This window comes from Homo sapiens, chromosome 6 (assembly GCF_000001405.40).
Source record: "Homo sapiens chromosome 6, GRCh38.p14 Primary Assembly".
NCBI lineage: Eukaryota > Metazoa > Chordata > Mammalia > Primates > Hominidae > Homo > Homo sapiens.
This window is the reverse complement of record NC_000006.12, coordinates 142023683-142046769: the sequence shown is the minus strand read 5'-3', so window position 1 is coordinate 142046769 and position 23087 is coordinate 142023683. Positions and strand designations below refer to the sequence as shown.

General features: G+C 35.7%; 2 long non-coding RNA genes across 2 annotated transcripts in view; one reads left to right on the top strand and one right to left on the bottom strand.

Moving 5' to 3' along the window:
- Window positions 1-712: 712 nt before the first annotated feature.
- Window positions 713-13666, bottom strand: LOC107986654 (uncharacterized). The gene is made up of 3 exons (XR_001744394.2): window positions 13578-13666; window positions 8998-9054; window positions 713-794 (listed from the first exon to the last, which is right to left on the bottom strand). It is a non-coding gene; the product is annotated as an uncharacterized LOC107986654 (long non-coding RNA).
- A 2677-nt stretch (window positions 13667-16343) lies between these two features.
- The window catches only part of LOC105378031 (uncharacterized), a 181459-nt gene continuing 174715 nt past the window's right edge, over window positions 16344-23087 (top strand). The window contains exon 1 of the long non-coding RNA XR_943079.3: window positions 16344-16607. This is a non-coding gene — a long non-coding RNA (uncharacterized LOC105378031). The remainder of the gene's footprint in view (window positions 16608-23087) is intronic.

Sequence of the window (23087 nt, the reverse complement as noted above, 5' to 3'; positions counted from 1 at the left end):
TTTTCAGATTTGAGACAAATAGTGGTAATATTGTTGAAATAGAATCAATAATGATGTATTACTACTATCTTTGCATATTATAATGTTACATAGTTATTTAAGTTAATCAATTATTAAGCAGATTCTAGCTCACTTTTGGGGGCAGGCTACACATAGTCTTTAATTTATAAATTAAGGTTTTCACAAAACCTTTCATTTATTCAAGTAATTATTTGTGTGCCTAATTTTGTAAAGAATAGATATTGCTACAATAAACTATTCTGGTAGAATAAACATCTGCATTATACATTTAAAATTTAATGTAATATTATGTCTGTAATAATAAGATAGTGTTGAAATATATCCAAATTCTAATTATATTAATGTTAACTCTTTTTAATCTTTGATTTGGCTGAATCTTAAAATTTTATTCTGATTATTATTTGCTATTCACATCCAGTATTTAAGTTTCTTTATCAACTATGCATACATTTTAATCAGCTCTTGTTGAATGTTAGAGTATAGTTCAATTCTATTAAATAATGCACTCTGCCATTAAATTCACCTCGCAATGATGTTGCCTGTTAAATATGGTGTTTTGGAGAAAATCCATATTACTGAACATTCACTTGTGACATGAATTATCTTCTGAAGATGGTGTTGTGATTCAAGGACATAAGTTATTTGGACAGCTCTTACGGTAACTCTGTTTTACTCTGTAACACCTCATAACTCACTGCTGTCAGCTGTAAAGGGTGGGAGGAAGTCTCCAGATCCTATATGCCCTCTTCCATTAGTCCTATTTCTGTTCGTTCCTACAAGAGAAAAACACTGTAATAGTAATCACTGGTGAAATCTCCCTTGAACTGCACAACCCATGTTTTGAATTATTTTGATTCTAAAACGATTAAATAACCCCTTGAAAGAAGCAGAAAGATTTTGATCCTTTCAGAACCCAATGTATTTCTCTTCCAAGTTTCTGGAATAAACATTTATATTAAGACATCCTCACTTCTGCATGTTCCCTTTGGGACAAATGGCTTATTTGCAAGTTGATGATGTCACCCAAGAACTGTCTGATCAGGTACTATGTCATGCTTTGTTAAAAAACAGCAGGTGAAAAAATGAGGATAAAAATCTTATGATTACAATGTAGAATTGGTACAATTATCAGTCATTTCAGACAAATGCCAGAAGATGGCAGTCCTATTTGTTCAGGACTTTATGAATTTTGCAAGACCCATGAGTGCTCTTTGGTTTCAACATGATCATAGATCATGGAGAAACCCAGAAATTAGTTTTTGTTACTATAGAAACCAAACGGAATAACTGATTTTTTTTTCTTTTTAAAGAAATGGTCTCCAAAATTAGGTAAAAACAACAAAGGGTGCTAGAAAATAAGCGCTGGTAAGTAACGCAGGAACAGAAGATGAAACACCACGTTCTCACTCAAAAGTGGGAGGTGAACAATGAGAACACATGGACACAGGGAGGGGAACAACACATACTGGGGCCTCTGCAGGGAAGGGGGCAGTGGAGGGAGGGAGAGCATCAGGAAAAATAGCTAATGCATGTTGGGCTTAATACTTAAGTGATGGGTTGATAGGTGCAGCAAAGCACCGTGGCACACGTTTACTTATGTAACAAATGTGCACATCCTACGCATGTACCCCAGAAATTAAAAATTAAAAAAGAAAGAAAGAAAGAGAAAGAAAGAAAATAAGTGCTAGGGAAAACAAAACTTTTTTTTCTGCTTATTGCTGCGTTCTGAAATCCTTGAGTCTGTTATGTTATTTTGGATAGACAGTTCCTTCTATTAGTTTTTTTCTTAATGGAAATATATAAAGTTGGTTTTTGAAATTTCCTATTGCTTTGAAACAAATTAAATTAATTTGTACTGATGTAAGTGCAATAAATATCCAAGTAATAGGAAAGTAAAATGATTTGTTTCAGTACATGAATTAGACCAAGATATTTTTCTGCTTTTTAGTTGAGTATACAGGATTTTAATGCAAAATAGTCTAAAAGAGTGCAATATATAGAAAACAACATTGTCCTGCTTCCTCCTTCCTATCAATTCAGATAAATTTGCAATTGATTTCATTGAATTTATTTACTCTGGCATCTGCAAGGTAGACTGATGATTTTTGACTACTCAAATAAATAGTTTCAAAAACATTAGGGCACTCAGACTCTCTCTTTGTATTTAGGACTTGATGGTGCCTATGGTTTATTATATTTTAGTTATACATGAAATCTACTAACCAGTGAGCATAAGCAACACATACAAAAACTGCATTTAAATAAAGCACACTTCTTCTGTGTCCTAGGAGTAAAAACTGTTTGCCTATGAACAGTGATAATACATGAGGACGAGATGTTCTGCAGGATAATCAAGATGGACTAGTTTAAATGAGCTGTAAAATTATTACTTTCTGCTTGATTCCCAGCCTCTAAAAACCTCTTTTAGCCTTACCTGGAAAGCATGACCCCTGATCCAATGCCTGGATTCATACCAGTGTTATCCATCCGGGCATTTTTGTCCTTGCTGGTGATATCCCTTGGACAATAGTCTGGGCAACTAGGTTTTCGACTTTTCTTAAAACCCATATTCATTGAATGCCCTTCTTATCTTACTTCAGCTCCTGCCTCATACCATAGCTCTTTTTTAGGTGAGCTAATATCTCTATTCCTTAATACTAAGTCACTGCATAAATCTAGCTACTGCTTTTCTAGGGAGACAAGAACCCTGGCCTCGAACCATAACGGGTTGCTAGGAGCCTGCTATCTGATGACTGATCTCCTGTATATCCATTGTGACTGCCTTTTCTTTGAGGACTGCCCCTGTCCACACCTCTCCTTGCACATCTTTTGAGACTGATGCTCCTACCGCCTTGGTTACTCATGGTCTCACTTAGACTGTGATCTGGTGTCACAAATAGACCCTTGCCTGTGGTTTGCTTATTTACTGAAAATTGCCATTGTAACTGTGACTTACTGTGCTCTTCAGTCTACCCACAACTCCTATGCAGTACTCCTATCCGGAATTTGGCTTTGCATCTTTGTGGTGGGAATGCGACATAATGGTGTGTTACTGCACATCTCTTCCGTCTTCTGCCACATCACATTGGCCACAGAGGGAGTGTTTACCCCATGTAAATTAGCAAGGTCTACAAACCAGGGCTTTCCTCTCCCCACAGAGAACAGGTATGAAACCCTTACCAGAATACCACCAGCACTCAACCTTTACATGTCCCACACTGTCCTCTCCCTGGAAGTGGTCCCTTTGCCAGCGTTATCGCAGATAATGTCAACCATTCACTCAGGTGTTCAAGCCAGAACCTTGAGAGCAATCTGTGACATTCACCTGTCAAGAGTTCTGGACTCTGCTTTTTTCCTTCTCTGCTGTCTTGTCTTTACTATAGCAACTGCTTCTTGGCATCCTCCACATTTCCTCTTCCTGAATCTATTTTCTACTCCATAGCAAAAGTGAGTTTTCCAAAGAGCAAGTCTCTCCCCTCTTGAAAGTTCTTCAGAGGTTTCTCTTAGAACAGGTTCTCAAAGTGCGTGTCTTTGAATCAATAGCATCAACATTTCCTGGGAATCAATTAAACCTGCAGATACTCTGCCCCCACCCAAAGCCTACTGTATCAGGAACTCTGGAGGCGGGTACCCACACTGCCTTAACAGGCCTTTCAGTTGATTTCGATGCACACTCAAGCTTGAGAACCACTGATTTGGGATGAAGTTCAATGTCCTTGAATGGTTACAGAGTGTCTAAAAGTCTGCTTTTGTTTACCTCTCCCCTAATCTTTCATTTATTTCTCTGAAACTTGAACTCTTTTCTTTGGTAATCCAGAAATACTTTCAGTCCCTCTATTTGGGATCATGTTTTCTTTCCCCAAGCTCTCTTGTCACTGGACCTTTGCAGAGCCCAGTAGTTAGTGCCACTACCCCACCCCATCTTCCTCTGCCTAAACATTTTTCCTTTATGCTTCAGTACTATCCATTTTTAAATCAGGGTAATCTTAATCATTTTCTATAATTCAGGGCTTTAAAGACAATTGCATGTCCAAATGTAGCAAGGTAGAATATGACTCAGTTTTATCTTATTTAGCATAACCTTTAAACTCTTGATTGTATATTTCAAATTGTAACTGTATTAATATATAATGCAGAATAACTTAAACAACTAAGAATTGCTTCATTCCAAACTAAAATAATATTTAACTAAAATGATTTAAAACTTGATGGATGCAAAATATTCTTAGCAATAATGGATAAACTTTGAGATGTGGAAACACAATTTCCCTTCTAAAAATTAATTATGTAATGAAAGAGAATCCAATTTATGTGGAAATGTAGGCAGTGGCAATATAGTTACAGAGTTATTGAATTTGTATTAAGTTATCACAATTAAAAAGAAAACAAAAAATGAACCTCGCACTTTCGGAAGTAGAATAACCATGCACTGAAAATTTTGATATGAAGAAACAAGGAGTATTATGAGAAAGAAGCATTGTCTTGTTATCATATTGGAATATTTAATATATAAGCCTTTCCAAATTTGTTGATCTATAAAATCATTGTATGTTTTGGTTAATGTCTTATTTCTGTTATGAAGTTCTTGTTTCATTATGTTTCAAAATGTACAAATACAGAAAATGCTGCTGCTTGCTGGAATATTATTTAATAATATTTTTTAAAACTTTATACTTAAAACAAAAAATTTTGAATCTCAGGAAACTTTTATATAAGAGCTGAAAGTTTAGTGGGGAAGAAAGAATAATAAGAATCACAGTTACTTAGAGGGTGAAAATATCGCTGAATGCCACTAAATGCTCTCAACATGAGCCTGTCTTTGTTCTGTCTCTTTCTCTGATATCTTAGACTGAGATCTTCTTAATATTTTCAACCATCTGGCAGAATTCAAGAAAATACTATTCCAGTCATCAATGTAAAAAATAAGTCCTGTATTAGCAGTATATATAAAATCAAGAAAGAGTAAAAAGTGAAAGGAAGGAAATTTTCTTTTTTCGTTTATAATTTCCAATGATTTATGGAAAAGTTGTTTTGATTAATGATATTGTGATTAAATTAGGTTGACGTTTCCTCTTCCTTAGCTGAGAAGCTTATAGTTCTAGCTGTATGCACCTCTTTTAAACAGCTGGCCACCTGGACCATTTCTATGGAACTCTGCATCCTGGATTTGGAGTGATTCCTGTATTCTTAAAACAAACTGGAGCTGAAGGGGATGCAAAAAGAACAGCTGCACAGAATCAGGCTTCTCATTATTGTAGAAGCATTTTTATGACATAAAGGATTCTATTCTTTTTGTTGCTTGTGCCTTTAGACACAGAAAATAAATTAATTCTTTTCTTTTGTGAACTTACTGTGTGGGTTAAATAAATTAATGCAGGTAATACATTTAGAACAGTGCCTTGCACATTGTGCTTGTTCTTATTGTTATTCAAATCAGTAACATTTATGTAATTACTTCTCCTAGCAATAAGTGGCCTGCACATCAAATACATGCCAGGTCTTTGCGGACCCCCAATGTGTAACGAATAGAACATTTACTAAAGCTGTGTATGCAGTGGAAGAGTGGTGCTCTCTATATTTGTGTCTACACAAATTCTTAGGTTTGATTGAGAGTAGAAATTAAGTGAAGGTTCTGGAACCTCTGCAACATTTAGATTTAGGCCACAATTATGAGTACTTGCTATATGTCAAGTGTTAGACAAGCACAAATATTTTGCATATAATGTCATATTTAATTCTACAGGATAGGAGTTACCATCATTACCTCACAGTGAGGAAACAGGGTAGGAGAGTGGTGTGATTTGCTCAAGATTGCACACTTGAAGAACCTGGATTTGAACTCAAAAGTTCTGACTGCAAAGTCCAAGATTCCTCCCACTGTACCACAACCACCTGGAAGTTGAACTTGTCACAACATGCTAGCGACTTTCTGTTTCAGCTCTGAAGTTCTCCTGGAACTCTAGGATAGTGACCTTACAGCCCCATGGTATTCATTGACATGAAATCAGTCTATGGAATGAAGATGAGGATGAGGAAAGCCGTAGTCACTAAAAGTAAATTATTATTGTGTATATAAATGACTAGACTATGGCAAGCATCAAAGGGAAGATTCCTGCATATAATAATAGTTTACAAGATATTAAAATGTCATATTAGGCTCCATTTATATTCCCTAAATGGTACTCCAGAAATGTATAAATGTTGTCAGTTGCTGGTTCCTAACTGTTTACCTGAGTTGGTGGAATTTGCAAGGGTAGTTAATATCACACGAGTGTTTTTAAAATGGCCTTAGAAAAAGGGAGTCTCTTTCTGCTTCATTCTGTTTGGAGCTGATTGTTTTCACACCTAAGAGTTTTAGTGTTCATTGAATTCCACTTTTTGTGCTTGAGTATTAGTTCATTGTCTTTTCATGTAATCCTTTGTACCCATTCTGTATTTCTTTGAAGTTTTGCTTCACAGCTCTTTGTGCTATTACTTAGATTCTTCCTTAAATGAAGCAAATTGGTCAGTGAAACTTATAACTCATTTACTAAAACCATTAGCTTTCAGTGAGTTGAAAATGATGAGTTCTATTACCTAAGTCTATTTTATCACTGCCCAGAAAACTGACTGTGTTAAAACCTACTATCCTTAAGCATCATTTATTAATGAATATTTTTAACAGAACACAATGAATGCACTGTAAAACTCTAAGAAAATATTAAACCATTAAAAAATTTCAATGAGTGATAACCAATTTTTGGGAAAATCCCCAGCCTCATTTTCTCCCTATACAAGCTTATCATACACTTGAAACATGTCAGACTATGGAAATATTAACTTGCAAGTTAAACATGATTGATACTTCTCTGAGAACCCATTTCACTCATAATTCTTACTCAAATGTTGCACTATTTCTGAACTTTCTGAAACATTAAGCCCTAGACTGGTTCTCAAAATACCGTGGCTCTCACTGATATGTGGAATTCATTACAACATAGTGCTGATGGTAGGAGAAGAGACTGGAGAGAGAAAGGAAATATCGTGTATGCAAGAGAAGACATTTATGCTGACCCACTGGAAAACTGCACAGTTTAATTCATATTTAATAACATATTGGTGATGACATTTCCAGAGGTAAAATCTCAATTAGTGTGGAATCATTGACTATATGATCCTGGATATATTTTTGAAAGAGATTGTTCTCATACTTACATTGAAATGTAGAAAGATCTAATGATTTTCCTCCCTTCCTCTTGAAATGACTATAGCTGAATGAAGAGTCAGCCATGGGAAGGAAAAGCATGGAAGGTACAATCCAGAGCTCTGGGGTGATTAGGGAAGGGCTTGACTCAAATAGAGAATCTATTGAGAGCCCACAGTAAAGTGGAGACTAAGATTTTATATGGCCTTTTAACAGGCCACTGTCTCTTGAGCCTGTGCGGGTGTGTGTGTGTGTGTGTGTGTGTGTGTGTGTGTGTGCGTATAAGTGGACACCAGAGAAGAGGTGGCATTAAGGAAGTAGACTGTATCTCTGCAGTAGGGATTCTGCATCATGGAGAAGAAGTATCTTCAGACCCTGCTTGACAATGCAGCTGTTGATTTTAAGCAGCTGTTACTGGAGCACCAGTAGCATATGTAGCTGTGTCTGTATTTTCTTTCCATCCCTGACTCATTCTGTTTCACACTGTAATCTGATAACATCTCTCTTAATCTGAGAAGTCTGTCCTCTTTGTTTTTTAATAAGGAAGCAGCCATGGTTATAGGCAGTGCCAGATGCTGCCCTTCGTGGCCCTCCTTCGGGATCACTTGTTTTCTCTCACCTGGGGAAGGGGGCTTATTAAATGTGCAGACCTACTGAGTCAGAATTTTAACCTGCCCTCTTGGTAAATCTTCTGTATCTTAACAAGTGAGAGCCCGGACTGTATCACAAAGGACCAACTAAGAGAATTTCATTCACATCTGGGTGTCTATTTGAGACAAACTAGAAAGTGCAAAGTCATTTCTACAATTCTATTTTATAGACTGAATAAAACCACAACAAAAGACACATAATAATGCAATGTTTCAATAAAAATAAGCTAGGAATGATGTTAACAAGAATGTTTACACTAGCATTTGTTTTTTTCTTCTTTCCATTCTGTTGGTTGGAAAGTCAAGAGAATCAGTAGCCTATAAAAATAATTGAAACAAATGGAAAAATGAATCTCAGGATTTTCCCCTGTGGAACTCCTTGCTCATGAAAAAATATGAAATTATTTTAACTTGATTAGTTTTCAGAAGATCACTAAGTCATATGGGGAGAGTCCTGAGAACTGGGATCAAACATAGATTCAGTGATAGGATGCATATAAAACTTAACAAAGTGGTTGTCACTAAATAATAATAGAAAATATCTCTACATAATATTCTATATTATGTTGCCAGGTACTATTCTAAGTGCCTTACATGTATTTAATAATTCACTCTATCATCACAGCAGCTATATGTGGTATGTATATTATTATACTCAAGTTACAGAAGCAAAACTGAGGCAAAGAGTGTTCACATAACTTGTGTAGACACACCATAGTTAAGTTTGAAACAGTTAAGTAGTTGCTGGCATTTTGTCATTATAAAACATGCATTGTAAATTGTTATTCTGTAAATGTTTATCTATGTTCTTTGGAGTGTTCCTTAACGCATATATCCAGAAACACAAATTCTGAATCAAAGCGTATGAACCTAGGCGTGTGAACTTGTTATAAAGCTAGTGTTTAATGAAGCTGGGATATATGAACCTATGCAAATTGGATTTAGAGTAGATTTTCTCAATCACTATACAAAACTACAATAAAAATAGACTTCATTGTTATCTGAACAAAGTAGCAAGTGTAAAACATTTTGAAAATTTTGAAGGGAAGAATATATAGGGTCTAGTCCTAGAAGATAATAAAATATTATATAAAACTAGAATAATTAACTGTGTAATTTAAATGATTAAACTGTTGTACTTACTGGTGAAAAATAGACTGGCAGATCAATAGGGTAGAATAGCTGTCATGGAACCAGACCCTATAACAAAATGCATGATAAATAAATCCTCGTGAATCAGGTGAAAGAGATAGATCTTTCAAAATGTATTCCTGAGAATGTTGATGAGATAGTTTTAAAAATCCATTTTGATTTCACTTCACTCCATTTTATCAAAATAGATTATAAAAGGATGAAAAAGCCAAACATAGAAAACGAAACTTTAAAACAGCAGAAAATATAGATAGGTATTTATCTAACTTGTGAGTGGAGACAAGCTTTATGAATTGGAATAAAACCAAACAGCTAAAAATAACCACTCTATCTTACTGTTTGTAAACACCTTCAAGACACTAAAGTAAAAACAAAACAAAACAAAAACAAACAAACAAACACCCAGAAACAAACAAACCTCCAAAAACCCCAGAAACAAACAAATTTAAAAACCCCAAAATGGAATTAAAAGAAAAAACACAGGAATGTATTTAAAATAAAATGTGAAAGATTGTTGGTTTTCTTAATAAAAGGGACATTAAACCACTTTATAGAGGGGGAAATACTTTAAAGTAAGCCACAGATAACTGGACAAGGCACTCAAACTATTCACAAAACCAGAAAGGCAAACGTTTAATCAAATTTGAAAGAGATTATGCTTACTAATAATTAGTATATAAATCATAACTCTAGTATACTATTTTTAGCAAATTACTAAAGATGTAAAACATGAATTTTTGGAAACTATAATGTGTGAACATATGACCCAGAGCCTAGGTTCACATGCTTTGACTCAGAATTTGTGTTTCTGGATATATGCGTTAAGGAACACTCCAAAGAACATAGATAAACATTTACAGAATAACAACTTACAACACATGTTTTATAATGACAAAATACTAGCAACTACTTAACTGTTTCAAACTTAACTGTGGTGTGTCTGCACAATGAAATACTACAAAATCTATAGTTATGTAAAACAGTATTTTTATTATAGTTAGAAAATGGTGGTCATTTTCTAATCATTTTAAGTGCAAATTTTATGTGTGATTTCTTATTTGTAAAACAAGTTGCAAAGTAACAGAGAAATGAATCAGAAATATGGTGAGTGGTTAAAATTTCAGTAATTTTCTTCTTTTTAAATTTTTCCTTATATTTTCTAGTATATCTTTTTTGCAGTTAAGGACTATTCCTTTTCTACTCAGAAAAGATTGCTGTTTTAAAAAAAGGAAGTGAGAGGAGAGGAGGAGAAGTAGGTTAGAAAACAAGGGATAGAGTGTGTGACAATATGGAGAGAAGTGAGTATTGCCTCCTCATGGGAATGATTACCTCCTATTGGAGAAATTGTATCAAGGGAACTTGGGAAATCTAGTGAGTATTCCCAAAGATGATTTACTAGGTACCTTCGTCTGTTCTTGCATTGGTATAATTAAGTACCTAAAACTGGGAAATTTATAAAGAAAAGAGGTTTAATTGGCTCGTGGTTCTGCAAGTTTTACAGGAAGCATGGTGCTGGCATCTGCTAGGCTTTTAGGGAAGTCTCAGGAAGCTTTCAATCATGGTGGAAAGTGAAGGAGGAGCAGGCTTCTCACATGATGAAAGTAGGAGCAAATGAGGGAGACTGAGCAGAAGTGGGCGAGGTGCCACAGACTTTTATATGACTAGATCTCCTGTGAATTCAGAGTGAGAGCTTACTCATCACCAAGGGGATAGCCCAAGCCATTCGTGAAGGATCTGCTCCTAGATCCAAACACCTTCCACCAGGCCCTACCTCTAACACTGGGTACTGCACTTCAACATGAGATTTAGGCAGGGACAAATATCCAAACTATATCCCCACGTTTCAGAATTTTCTAATAAAGAAATAAATGTTCTTTGCTTGGCTCTAAAGTTAGCGCGAATAAAACTGAACATTTTCTTATAAATATTGCAAAAGTATGCACCCACATACCAAATGCCTCTTGCTAAACTATTTAAGACTATTAGATTCAAAATAGGTGTAGGATACATTCGGAAAGTAAGGTGAAATCATTTTAAAATTGTCTAATGAAGGATGAGGGCATGCTTTACTGAGACAAGAGAGGAGGACTGAGGCATAGATTTCTGGAGAATGGAGCCAGAGATGAAGAGCTAGAAGCAACTAATGAGGCTTCAGAAGTCCTTCCACAGGGCCTGGCACAGTAGCTCATGCCTGTAATCCCAGCACTTTTGGAGGCCGAGGCGAGTGGGTCGCCTGAAGTGAGGAGTTCCAGACCAGCCTGGCCAACATGGCGAAACCCCATCTGCACTAAAAATACAAAAATTAGCTGAGCGTGGTGGTGTGTGCCTGTAGTCCCAGCTACTTGGGGAGAATGAGGCAGGAGAATTGCTTGAACCCGGGAGGCAGAGGTTGCAGTGAGCTGAAAGTGCCACTGCACTTCAGCCTGGGTGACAGAGCAAGACTCCGTCTCAAAAAATAAATAAAATTAAATAAAATTAAAAAAGAAGTCATTCCACGAAGGTGGCAGCAGAAGGAAGAGCAAGAGTTAGCTCTGAAGACGGAACACAGGGATTGGGTGAATCTAGAGAAATGTTCCATGATGTTTTACTGTTGGGTTCTTCTTACATAGGTCATCAGTTTTTCTTTTTCTCCATTGCATCATTTCTAGCTGCTTATGAAAGTGTTATGATTTCTTACATTAAAAAATCCTTTTTCTGGCCAATTTTTCTGCTACAATTGGCATCTCCATTTCTCAGTCCCCTCTTACCCCAAAGTCTAAGGAAGAATGGTCTGTCCCCTAAGCATTTACCCCACCACACCATCAAAATTGTTCCTTTCACCAGTGCCTTTCACTCATATTGACAAATCCAACAGTCATTTCTCAGACCTCACCTTGCTAAACCTACTAGCACCATTTGACACAGTAGATGACTCTCCTTTCTTCTTAGTACACTTTCTTTACTTAGCTTCGGATACATAGCATTTGCCTGTTTTACCTCCAACCTCTGGTTTTATTTCACAGCTTCTTAACTTGTTCTTCCTCTGTCTCCCTCAACACTTTATTTTCTAACCATATCCACTTAGAAAGAGGTATCATCCAATTTTGAAGCTTTAAATACCACCTATATGGTATGGTCCCTCGAATTTAGAACTCCAAGCCAGTCTTCTCTCTTGAACTCTAGACTTGTTTATCCAGCCACATTATGGTCATGTCCAGTGCTAGCCCTGCTGGTCCAAGGCACAAACATCTCTTAAGTGGATAACTGTCTAGTCTCCTAATTGCTGCGACACTTTCCATTCTTAACCTTGATGTTTGCTCATGGAGCAGAAAGGGTGAATTATAAAAGAGTTAGGTTATGTCGCTTCTCTACTCAAAGTCATCCAGTGGTTTACCTTCTCAGTCACGGGAAAAAAAGAAAAAGAAGTCTATAGTACGCTAAGAGATATGATATAGTTTGACCCCAGCTATATATCCCTAATGTCACTCTGTGCCAGCCTCATTGGATTTCTGGAAGATAGGCACATAGTTTTGTTCTGAGGCTTTTGCCCTTTCTCTTCCTTTTCTTGGACCACTTTTCCTCCAGCAAGCTAAATGGCTGGCTCTCTATGCCCTTCAATTATCTCCTTGAGCATCATCTATCAGATAGGTCTTTCCCTAGCACATAGTGTTCCCTCTTCTTTCACCACTCACCAACACTTTAACCTGTTTTATTTGTCTCTAGAGTACTTATTTCCACTATATAATTTAGTTAAGAATTCCTTCTTCTCATTATAAAGTCAGCTCCATGAGGGTAAAAACTTTTTAATTTTGCTCATTTTTGTATTTGCAGAGCTCTTAACAACACCTGGCATAAAGCTGGGTATTTAATAAATATTTGTGGAGTGAATGGATGGACATGGATCCTAGTATACACTTTCAGGATAAAAACCAAGTCTTAACCTAATATAACCCAAGTAAAGGAATACTCTTTAATAACTTATCCCAAACATAATATAATCATTTCATTATTAGGCTGTATATTTTTGTGATTTCAAATTAAAGAAAATTATTTTAGAGGATGTACTTTTTCCATATCTCCCCCAAATTTAGATGGCTCTACTGTTCTTAAGGTTTTAAAATTACTCTTTTCCAGAGACACATGAAATTTTAAAACACAAAATAATATAATTTATTTACAAAAGATTTTTGATTTTGTTAATCTCTTTGTATTCAAATATAAGTGCGTCAAACACAGCTTTGAAGTTTGTAACTGTCTTCTCAAGAAAAACAAGACACCCACAATCTTCATTAACATTAATTAGTTAATACAGTTAATAAGAGCATATCATATTATTATTGTCCCCTGGTGTAAATGAGGACAGATGCTCTTACAATCTTTTTAATTGATTGTTTTACATTATAATTGATTGTATTACATTATATATTACATTATAATATAATTATTATACATTACAACCATAACTATATAAATCTCATCTCCAATTTTTTGTGACTCAAATAATTTTAGTCGACTGATTTTTCACATTGAAGAAGTGTTATTGGCTACATCAAACAAATTATCAAGAGCTAGCACTTAAAAAAAGTACCAACCAAAATTTTAAAGTGGAGCTCCATTCTTGTGAGATTTCAAGAGTTTCTGTGTCAGTCTTTGCATAATGCATGAAGAATTTGAATTCCTTAGTATTCATGCCTGAATGGGGGAATATATAAGAAAGTTATGATTTATATTTATTGTAATAAAAATGTTCAGCTTTTATCAGTTCAGCACCCTTTAGATGGGTGAGACTGAATCAAATCTCTCATTTTTTAAACTTATTTTTAAAATTTTACCTTTAACCTATGTATATAGACAAGTGCGTTATTATTGTATATTAAACCACCCAAAAAATTACAGTTTAAAACAACAATGATTTATTACTTTTTATGCTTCTGCAGGTTAAATTGATAAACTAGGCTTTAAAAAATTGTTAAATACTTACGTTCACCAAAAGGCATTGTAGTTAAATATATGTATAGGCAAGCCACAGCATGGGTGACAAGGTTTGTAAAACATATAACTGCAAAAGGACTGTTACCTAGAATACATAATAAAATGCTATAACTCAATAACGAAAAGGCAAACAATTCAATTAAAAATTGGCAAAATATTTTAAATATATAGGAAAAAAGAACATGTATAAATGTCCTTTTAGCATATGTCACACTTTTCAGTATCATTAGTCATCAGAAAATGCAAATTAAAACTATGCTAGGATACCATTATACATCCATGTGAGTGGCTAAAGTAAATAGGCTGATAACATTAAATATGGATAAGGATATTGAGTAACTGAAATCCATACATTACTGATGGGAATGTAAAATGCAGCAGCCACTTGGAGAAAGTATTGGCACTTTCTTATAAAACTCAAAATATACTTACCATGAGACCCAGCGTTTTTTTCTTTCTTTTTTTTTTTTTTTTTGAGTTGGAGTCTGGCTCTGTCACCCAGGCTGGAGTGCAGTGGTGCAATCTCGGCTCACTGCAAGCTCCGCCTCCCAGGTTCACGCCATTCTCCCGCCTTAGCCTCCTGAGTAGCTGAGTAGTTGGGACTGCAGGCGCCCGCCACCACGCCCGGCTAATTTTTTGTATTTTTAGTAGAGACGGGGTTTCATGGTGTTAGCTAGGATGGTCTCGAACTCCTGACCTCATGATCCGCCGGCCTCGGCCTCCCAAAGTGCTAGGATTACAGGCTTGAGCCACCGCGCCCGGCCGAGACCTAGCATTTTTTATCGTTGTTATTTATCCCAAAGAAATGAAAACCAAAAGGCTTTTATAATTACGATCATTCTGCTCTTTTCTGAATTGCTTTAAACTGTAAAAAAAAACCTTGGCGTACATGAATAGGAGAATGAATATGTGGTATATTAATACATGAAAATATTTTTCAACAATAAAAAGCAGCAATGTGGTGATACAGCAACAAGAATGAATCTCAAAAACATTATGCTTAGCATAAGAAGCTAACCATAAAAGCACGTACTGTATGGTTTCGTGTATATGAAGTCCTGCGATAGGCAAACCTAAGTATAGCGAGAAAAATCAAACCAAGAGAACAGGAGTTGTCTCTGGGAGTATTCAAGAGATTGATTGGGAAGGGGCATAAGGGAACATTCTGGGGTAAAAATAATATCCTATGTCTCGAAAGGAGTTTGGGTTATCCAGCTATATCCATTTATTGAAACTCAAATCTCTCCTACACTTTATTTATTTCATACTATATAAATGCAAAAACTATAAGATTAGATTAAAAAAAAAACCCTCAAGGAGAATACTCATGTAAGCCTTGAATCAAGGTGAAAAGAATGGCACAACTGGAGAAAGAAAGTATATGCAAGCCTGGGGGCCAGAGAGACTCCTGGGCACAGCTCCGCAGGGATTTGTCTCATATAACACTCTTAGTCTGTGGATTATAAGCCACCAATATGGAATGAAGAATATGAGTTTCATGAGACCGGGAAAAACTTTCCAGCTGGATCTTTTATGCTGATTAGTCACATTGCCAAGCTAGTAAACATTTAACCAGTTACACCAGGTGTAAGCGATCAATAAACAAGTTGGTCTTGGGTGTAAAGTATAAAATGGGAAAATTAAACAGCACAGTATTAATCGTTAGTTAACCCACTTGTTTTATCTTGGTCCCAGACTTTTCTAGGCATCTCCAGTTGTTAAGCACAGAGCTGTCCCAGTGTAGCTGTCACATAATGGTATGGTCAGATAATGGTATGCAGTAAATTTTAAATAAAAGAAAATAAGCTGTAAAAAAATTGCACTCTTCTTTATAATCTGCATTCAGAAGTACTTAAGCAGAAGAATATAGATTCTGTGATTTACTTTAAAACGAATAGAGCTTGATGACGGGGAGATGAGTAAATACAGGGTTAAAAATAAATAAAATACTAGTGGTAAATTTAGGAAGTGAATGTACTGGTGTTTATTTTAAATTCTTTCAACTTTGCTGCATATTTGAAGATTTTTATAAGATTTTGGAAAAAATCTGTAAATGCAAAGATTTATTAAATGTTCTATAACTAAAAATTTTGACCTAGGAAAAGGGATTGCTCCAATAAAAATATGAGTGAAACAAAGTATGTTGTCTTCTCTTTCCTACCATTCTTTGTTTCTTGCTCTTTGTGATGGTTAATCCTTTGGATTGAAGGATGCAAAGTATTGTTGCTGGGTGTCTCTGGGTGTTGCCAGAGGAGATTAACATTTGAGTCAGTGGACTGGGGGAGGAAGACCCACCCACAATGTGGGTGGGCACCATCCAATCAGCTGTCACCTTGGCTTTAAGACAGAAGAAGGCGGAAGAAGCTGACTTGCTGAGTTTTCCAGCGTTTATCTTTCTCCCGCGCTGGATGCTTCCTGCCTTTGAACATCAGACTCCAAGTTCTTTGGCTTCTGGACTCTTGGACTTACACCAGTGGTTTGTCGGGGCTCTCAGGTCTTCTGCCACAGACTGAAGGCTATACTGTCAGCTTCCCTACTTTTGAGGTTTTGGGACTCGGACTGAGCCACTGCTGGCTTCCTCGCTCCTCAGCTTGCACGCGGCCTATCGGGGGACTTCACCTTGTGAGCGTGTGAGTCAATTCTCCTTAATAAACTCCCTTTCATATATACATCTATCCTATTAGTTCTGTCCCTCTAGAGAACCCTGACTAATACACTTTTCTTTCTGCCTCTTCTTTGCTTCTAGGTACGTATGAGCTTTTTGCTCATCACCGAATATCTCTATTAAGATTTCTTTCAGAATTACTCTAAAACCAGTAAACTGAATAGGTGAATTACACTAAGGTGCTATAATTATAAACAAACTCTTAATGAGGTCTAATCTCTGCAGTTGAATAGTACTGTCAAGTATGTATCTATAGAATTATAAGGAAGTTCCATTTTTCTGAGATAATTTCAATTTAATTGCAAAAATAATGTTCACGTAGGAAAGTAATTCACAAGACGATGATGAATTTTATAAACGCAAAACTCAGTGGTGTATCCCAAACAAATTTTGTTCTAAAGAAGGTGAGAATATGCTCAACTGGGAGAGCAAGTAAAAGTTTCAAATTGAAGGTGGATCTTAAAGGATGAGTGGGCTCTCCATACACGAATATAGCCTTCTAGGCAAGGGGAATGAAATGAGAAAAAGGACAGTGGTCTGTCAATTTGCTACATATTTTTTTGAGGATAATATGGAGTTCATATTGGAGAACAGTGATTTGGCAGAAATTTTTGAATTCATTTTGGCTATATTCGAAGGCAGAATATTCAATATATCTCCAAGGAAGGTGGAAATGTAAGACTGTATCCTTGAGGCCAGTATTAGAGGGGTAAATGTCCCATGTAGCATTGAGTGTGATTTCATAAATCAAACAAGAATGTGTTTCATTACCTGATTGATGTACACCTTACATAGATTTAAAAAGCATTTTTATGGAACAAATTACTGACAGTGTATGTGATCTCACAGGGAGAACTATGTACAGAGTACGGCAGAGATACTCAGAAAAGAAAAATACATGGTGAAGAGCTAATAGCTGAAACTTGAGAGGAAATCCCCCTAAAAGCACACACCCAAGTGGTGCAACAGATAGATATTTCTGGCAGGGCAATGTTTATTGGCATCTGCATGTCAACAAATATTAATGTCACATCAGTCAGAATCGACATTATTAAAATGTCAAAAAGTAACATGGTGGTGAGGCTGTGGAGAAAGGGAACACTTATACACTCTTGGAAGGAATGTAAATTTGTTCAGCCACTATGTTAAAGCAGTTTGGAGATTTCTCAAAGAACTTAAAACAGGATGAGCATTTGACCTAGGAATCCCATTACTGAATATATATCCAAAGGAAAATTAATCGTTCTACCAAAAAGACCCCTGCACGTCTGTGTTCATCACAACACTGTTAACAATAGCAAAGACATGGAATCAACCTAGGTGCCCATCAATGATGCACTGGATAAAGAAAATGTATATATACACCATGGAATACTACACAGCCATAAAAAAGAGTGAAACCATGTCCTTTGTTGCGACATGAATGCAGCTGGAGTCCATTATTCTATGCAAAGTAATGCAAGAACAGAGAACCAAATACCACATGTTCTTACTTACAAGTGGGAGCTAAGCATTGGGCAAACATGGAGCTAAAGATGGAAACAATAGGCACTGGGGACAATTAGCAGGGGTAGAGAGGGAGGGTGGCAAAGGCTAAAAAATGACCTAAGTATTATGCTCACTACTTGGGTGATGGGATCATTTCTACCCTAAAACTCAGCATCATGCAATACACACATGTAACAAACCTGCATATGCACCCCCAAATTTAAAATAATAGTTGAAATTATTTAAAAAGCCCAAATAACTTATTTCAACTATTACACACACACATGCGTGCACATACACACACACACACACACATATTTATTTAAGTACAGGGGTACATGTACAGGTTTCTTACATAGGTAAACTCATGTCATGGGCTTGTTGTACAGATTATTTTGTCACCCAGGTGTTAAGCCTAGTACCCATTAGATATTTTTCCTGATCGTTTTCCTCCTCCCACCCTTCACCCTCAGGCCCCAGTTTCTGTTGTTTCCCTCTATGTGTCCGTGTGTTCTCATCCTTTAGCACCCACTTATAAGTGAGAACATGAAGTAGCTGGTTTTCTGTTCATGCATTAGTTTGCTAAGGATAATGGTTTCCAGCTCCATTCACGTCCCTGCAAGGCACATGACCTCATTCATTTTTATGGCTGCATAGTATTCCATTGTGTATATGTACCACATTTTCTTTATCCAGTCTAGCACTGATGGTCATTTAGGTTGATTCCATGTCTTTTCTATTGTGAATAGTGCTGTAATGAACATACACATTCATGTATCTTTATGGTAGAACAATTTATATTCCTTTGGGTATATACCTAGTAATGGGATTGCTGGGTCAAATAGTAGTTCCCTTTTTAATTCTTTGAGGAATTACCACACTGCTTTCCACAGTGGTTGAACTAATTTACACTCCCACTAGCAGGATATAAGTATCCCCTTATCTCCACAACCTTGCCAGCATCTGTTATTTTTTGACTTTTTAGTAATAGCCATTCTGACTGGTATGAGATGGTATCTCATTGTGGTTTTGATCTGTATTTCTCTAATGATCAGTGATGTTGAGCTCTTTTTCGTATGCTTCTTGGCCACATACATGTCTTCTTTTGGAAAGTTCATGTCCTTTTACCATTTTTTAATGGGGTTTGTATTAGTTCATTTTCATGCTGCTATAAAGACATACCTGAGACTGGGCAATTTACAAAAGAAAGGTTTATTGGACTTAGGGTTTCATGTGACTGGAGAGGTCTCACAATCATGGCAGACGGTGAAAGGCACATCTCACATGGCAACAGACAAGAGAAGAGAGCTTGTGCAGGGGGACTCTCCCTTTTTAAAATATGAGTCTCATGAGACTCATTCACTATCATGAGAACAGCTTGAGAACAGCACGGGAAAGACCTGCCCCCATGATTCAATTACCTCCCACTAGGTCTCTCCCACAACACGTGGGAATTCAATATGAGATTTGGGTGGGGACACAGCCAAACCATATGGGGGTTGTTTGTTTTTTTCTTAGTTGTTTTTTTTCTTATACATTTAAGTTCCTTATAGATGCTGGATATTAGACTATTGTCAGATGCACAGTTTGCAGAAATTTTCTCCCATTCTGTGGGTTGTCTCTGTTTACTATGTGATAATTTATTTTACGGTGCAGAAGCTCTTTAGTTTAATTAGATCCCATTTGTCAATTTTTGCTTCTGTTACAATTGCTTTTGGTGTTTTCAACTTGAAATCTTTGACAGGTCCTATGTCTAGAGTGGTACTGTCTAGACTGGCTTCCAGGGACTTTATAGCTTTGGGTTTTACATTTAAGTCTTTCATTCATCTTCAGTTGATTTTTGGATAGGGTGTAAGTGTTAGAGGCATTGAAACCAGAATGACTCCATCTTGAGTGAGGGCCAGGAAAATGAGGCTGGGACTTGCTAGGCTACATTCCAGAAGTTAGGTATTCCTAGCCTCTAGGTGTTTATGGTTAAGGGAGCAGATGGATAATGTTTGCTAAACAGATCCAGACTTAGGAGTGTCCTAATACCTCAATATCTTAAGAACAAAGGCATTCCTGATTTTGCTTTAAAGATAATAATACTAATTCTTGCAAAATATAGTATTAAGAAAATTAATCCTTTATCACAAAGGCTTGTATCACAGCACATCTCCCCATGATCTTTTTTTTTATCCTACATATACGAGTAGTGTACTTTGGGTGGACGCATTTCTCCTCTTACTTTCAGGAACACCCTACTCTTTCTACGGAGTAGCTGTTCTTTCACCGCTTTACTTTCTTAATAAACTTGCTTTTCCTTTGCACTGTGGACTCGCCCTGAAATCTTTCTTGCGCCAGATCCAAGAACCCTCCCGTGGGCTCTGGATTGGGACCTCTTTCTTGTAACATAAGGAAGGGGTCCATTTTCAATCTTCTGCATATGGCTAAGAAGTTATCGTAGCACCATTTATTAAATCAGGAGTCCTTTTCCTGTTGCTTGTTTTTGTCCGCTTTGTTGAAGATCAGATGGCTGTAGATTTGCAGCCTTATTTCTGGGCTCTGTATTCTGTTCCATTGGTCTATGTGCCTGTTTTTGTACCAGTAGCATGCTATTTTAGTTAACGTAGCACTGTAGTACAGTTTAAAGTTGGGTAGCATGATGCCTCCAGCTTTGTTCTTTTTGCTTAGGATTGCCTTGGCTGTTTGGGCTCCTTTTTTGTTCCATATGAATTAAAAAAAATTTTTTTTTCTAGTTCTGTGAAAAATGTCATTGGTAGTTTCATAGGAATAGCATTGAATCTATAAATTGCTTTGAACAATATGGCCACTTTAACAATATTGATTCTTTCTATCCATGAGCATGGAATGTTTTTCTGTTTGTTTGTGTCACCTCTGATTTCTTTGAGCAGTGTTTTGTAGTTCTCATTGTAGAGGTCTTTTGCCTGCCTAGTTACCTGTATTCCTGGGTATGTTATTCTTACAAACAGTAAATATTAATGGACTTATCCATCCATTAAAAGAAATGGATTTTCATATTACACCATAAACGAAACTAACTCTAGGTTAAAAATCACATCAGTGAGCAAGACAATCTAGAAAATCTGGGAGAGAAATGGGCAAATGTATTTCCAGGCCAAATGCAAATAAAAATAATGTGGAGATCTTGACTTTAAGATATTAAACAAAATGCAATTTAGTCCATCAATTATTCAAAGAAGAAGAGAAGGCCCTTTGTAATGCTAATATGAGGAATTTAAAATGGAGATATACAGAAGTAGCTGAGAAAATATAGAAGACGAAAGGAGAAAATATCCACTTACTGCAAGCGAATGAATTTACCTTTCTTAGTCTATGACAGATCAAACTGGACAAAATTTAAGGCTATGATGAAATAAATAACATAATTTTAAAAGTTCCTTTGATTGGTATGTACCAAACTTTGATCCCTGAAAAATAAGAATAATGGATTTTTTTAAGTGTCCTTGTTGCATTTATGAAAATTAACCATTTAAAAGCTCATGAAGCAACCTCAAGAAATTCCATAAAATGTAAATAGTATAGAAAATTTATCTGATTGAAATGTGGTAAAAATAGAAAATATAACAAAACCAGAAAATAAAAAGGTACTTCTGTCTGGAAATTAAAAGAAACAAACAAAGCAATAACTTTTAAACTTCTCTAGAATTAATATACAATGCAACCTGGAATTGTAGAATTCCTAGAAAACAATAAAAACATTACATTGAATAACTATGGAATTCACTGAAGGAGTGCTAAAAAGAAATGCACAGACTTAAATAGTTATATAACAATAAAGAAAATTTAAATAAAGTTATGAAGCATCCGAATCTAGAGATTATAAAATAACCCCAAAATGCATTCAAATACAGAAAAAATGTAAAATAAATATGAAAGCTGTTTGTTTTGAGAAAAAATGGGATTAATCACTATTTAATCCACTGATAAAAAACAAAATGCACTAAAAACAAGTGACAATAGGTAAAAGCTCAGAGAAACAGAGGAAAATTTAAAAACTCATTAGATACCACTTAACTCAGATCACTCCATAATAGTATAGAGAGATAATCCTCAATACAAACAGCTACTCTTTACTCCATTGTGTAGGTAGACATATTTTATTCAACTGGCCTCCTATTGACAGTAGTTTAGGCTTTCCAGCTTTTTGCTATTATAAATAGTGCTGCAATGAATTGTTTTGTGCATATGTCTTTTTATGTTTTTGCTAATAAATATCTGGTCTAGGTCTCTAGAATTAGAATGACATGTTCAAAAGGTAAAATGCACATGCAATTTTGCTAGATATTACTAAGTTCGCCTCTAATTTTTTTTGTTTTCATGAGAAGTATATGAAAATGACACCTACATCTTTTTTGAAGAAAGAAACTATACCAACTGACTCTAAATCTAATGTAAGAAAATAAACAAGAATAAATAGAAAAACTTTGTAAAAGAAGAGCAATGAGGATAGAATAAGACATATAAGATTTAAAACATATTATAAAGACTTACTAATTAAATTAATGTGATAGAGATCCATGAAATAGAATAGAAAGTGCAGAAATAAGTTATAATACTTAAGGAAATTTAGCATATGGGTAAGATTGTTTTCATTAGGGAAGAAGAAGGGTTAATCAATAGAGATAGCTGGACAAATAATAACTATCTGGTAAAAATAATGATGGATTTATATCTCACAACGTCTACTAGGATGACATCCAAATGTCTTAAGAGACTACATGTAAAAATTTGAAATCATATGTACTCAAAATAAAAGAATTTGCTAAAAATATTTGGAGTGGAAAATTTTAATTGAAAATGCAGATGGCATAAAAGAGGTTTGAAAATTTAATTATCTAAAAAACACGTGAATTGCCTTTCAAAAAATAACATAAGCAGAGTCAAAATATAAAAGATTAATTTGGAAACAGTATTTTCAGCTCTTCTATGCTGA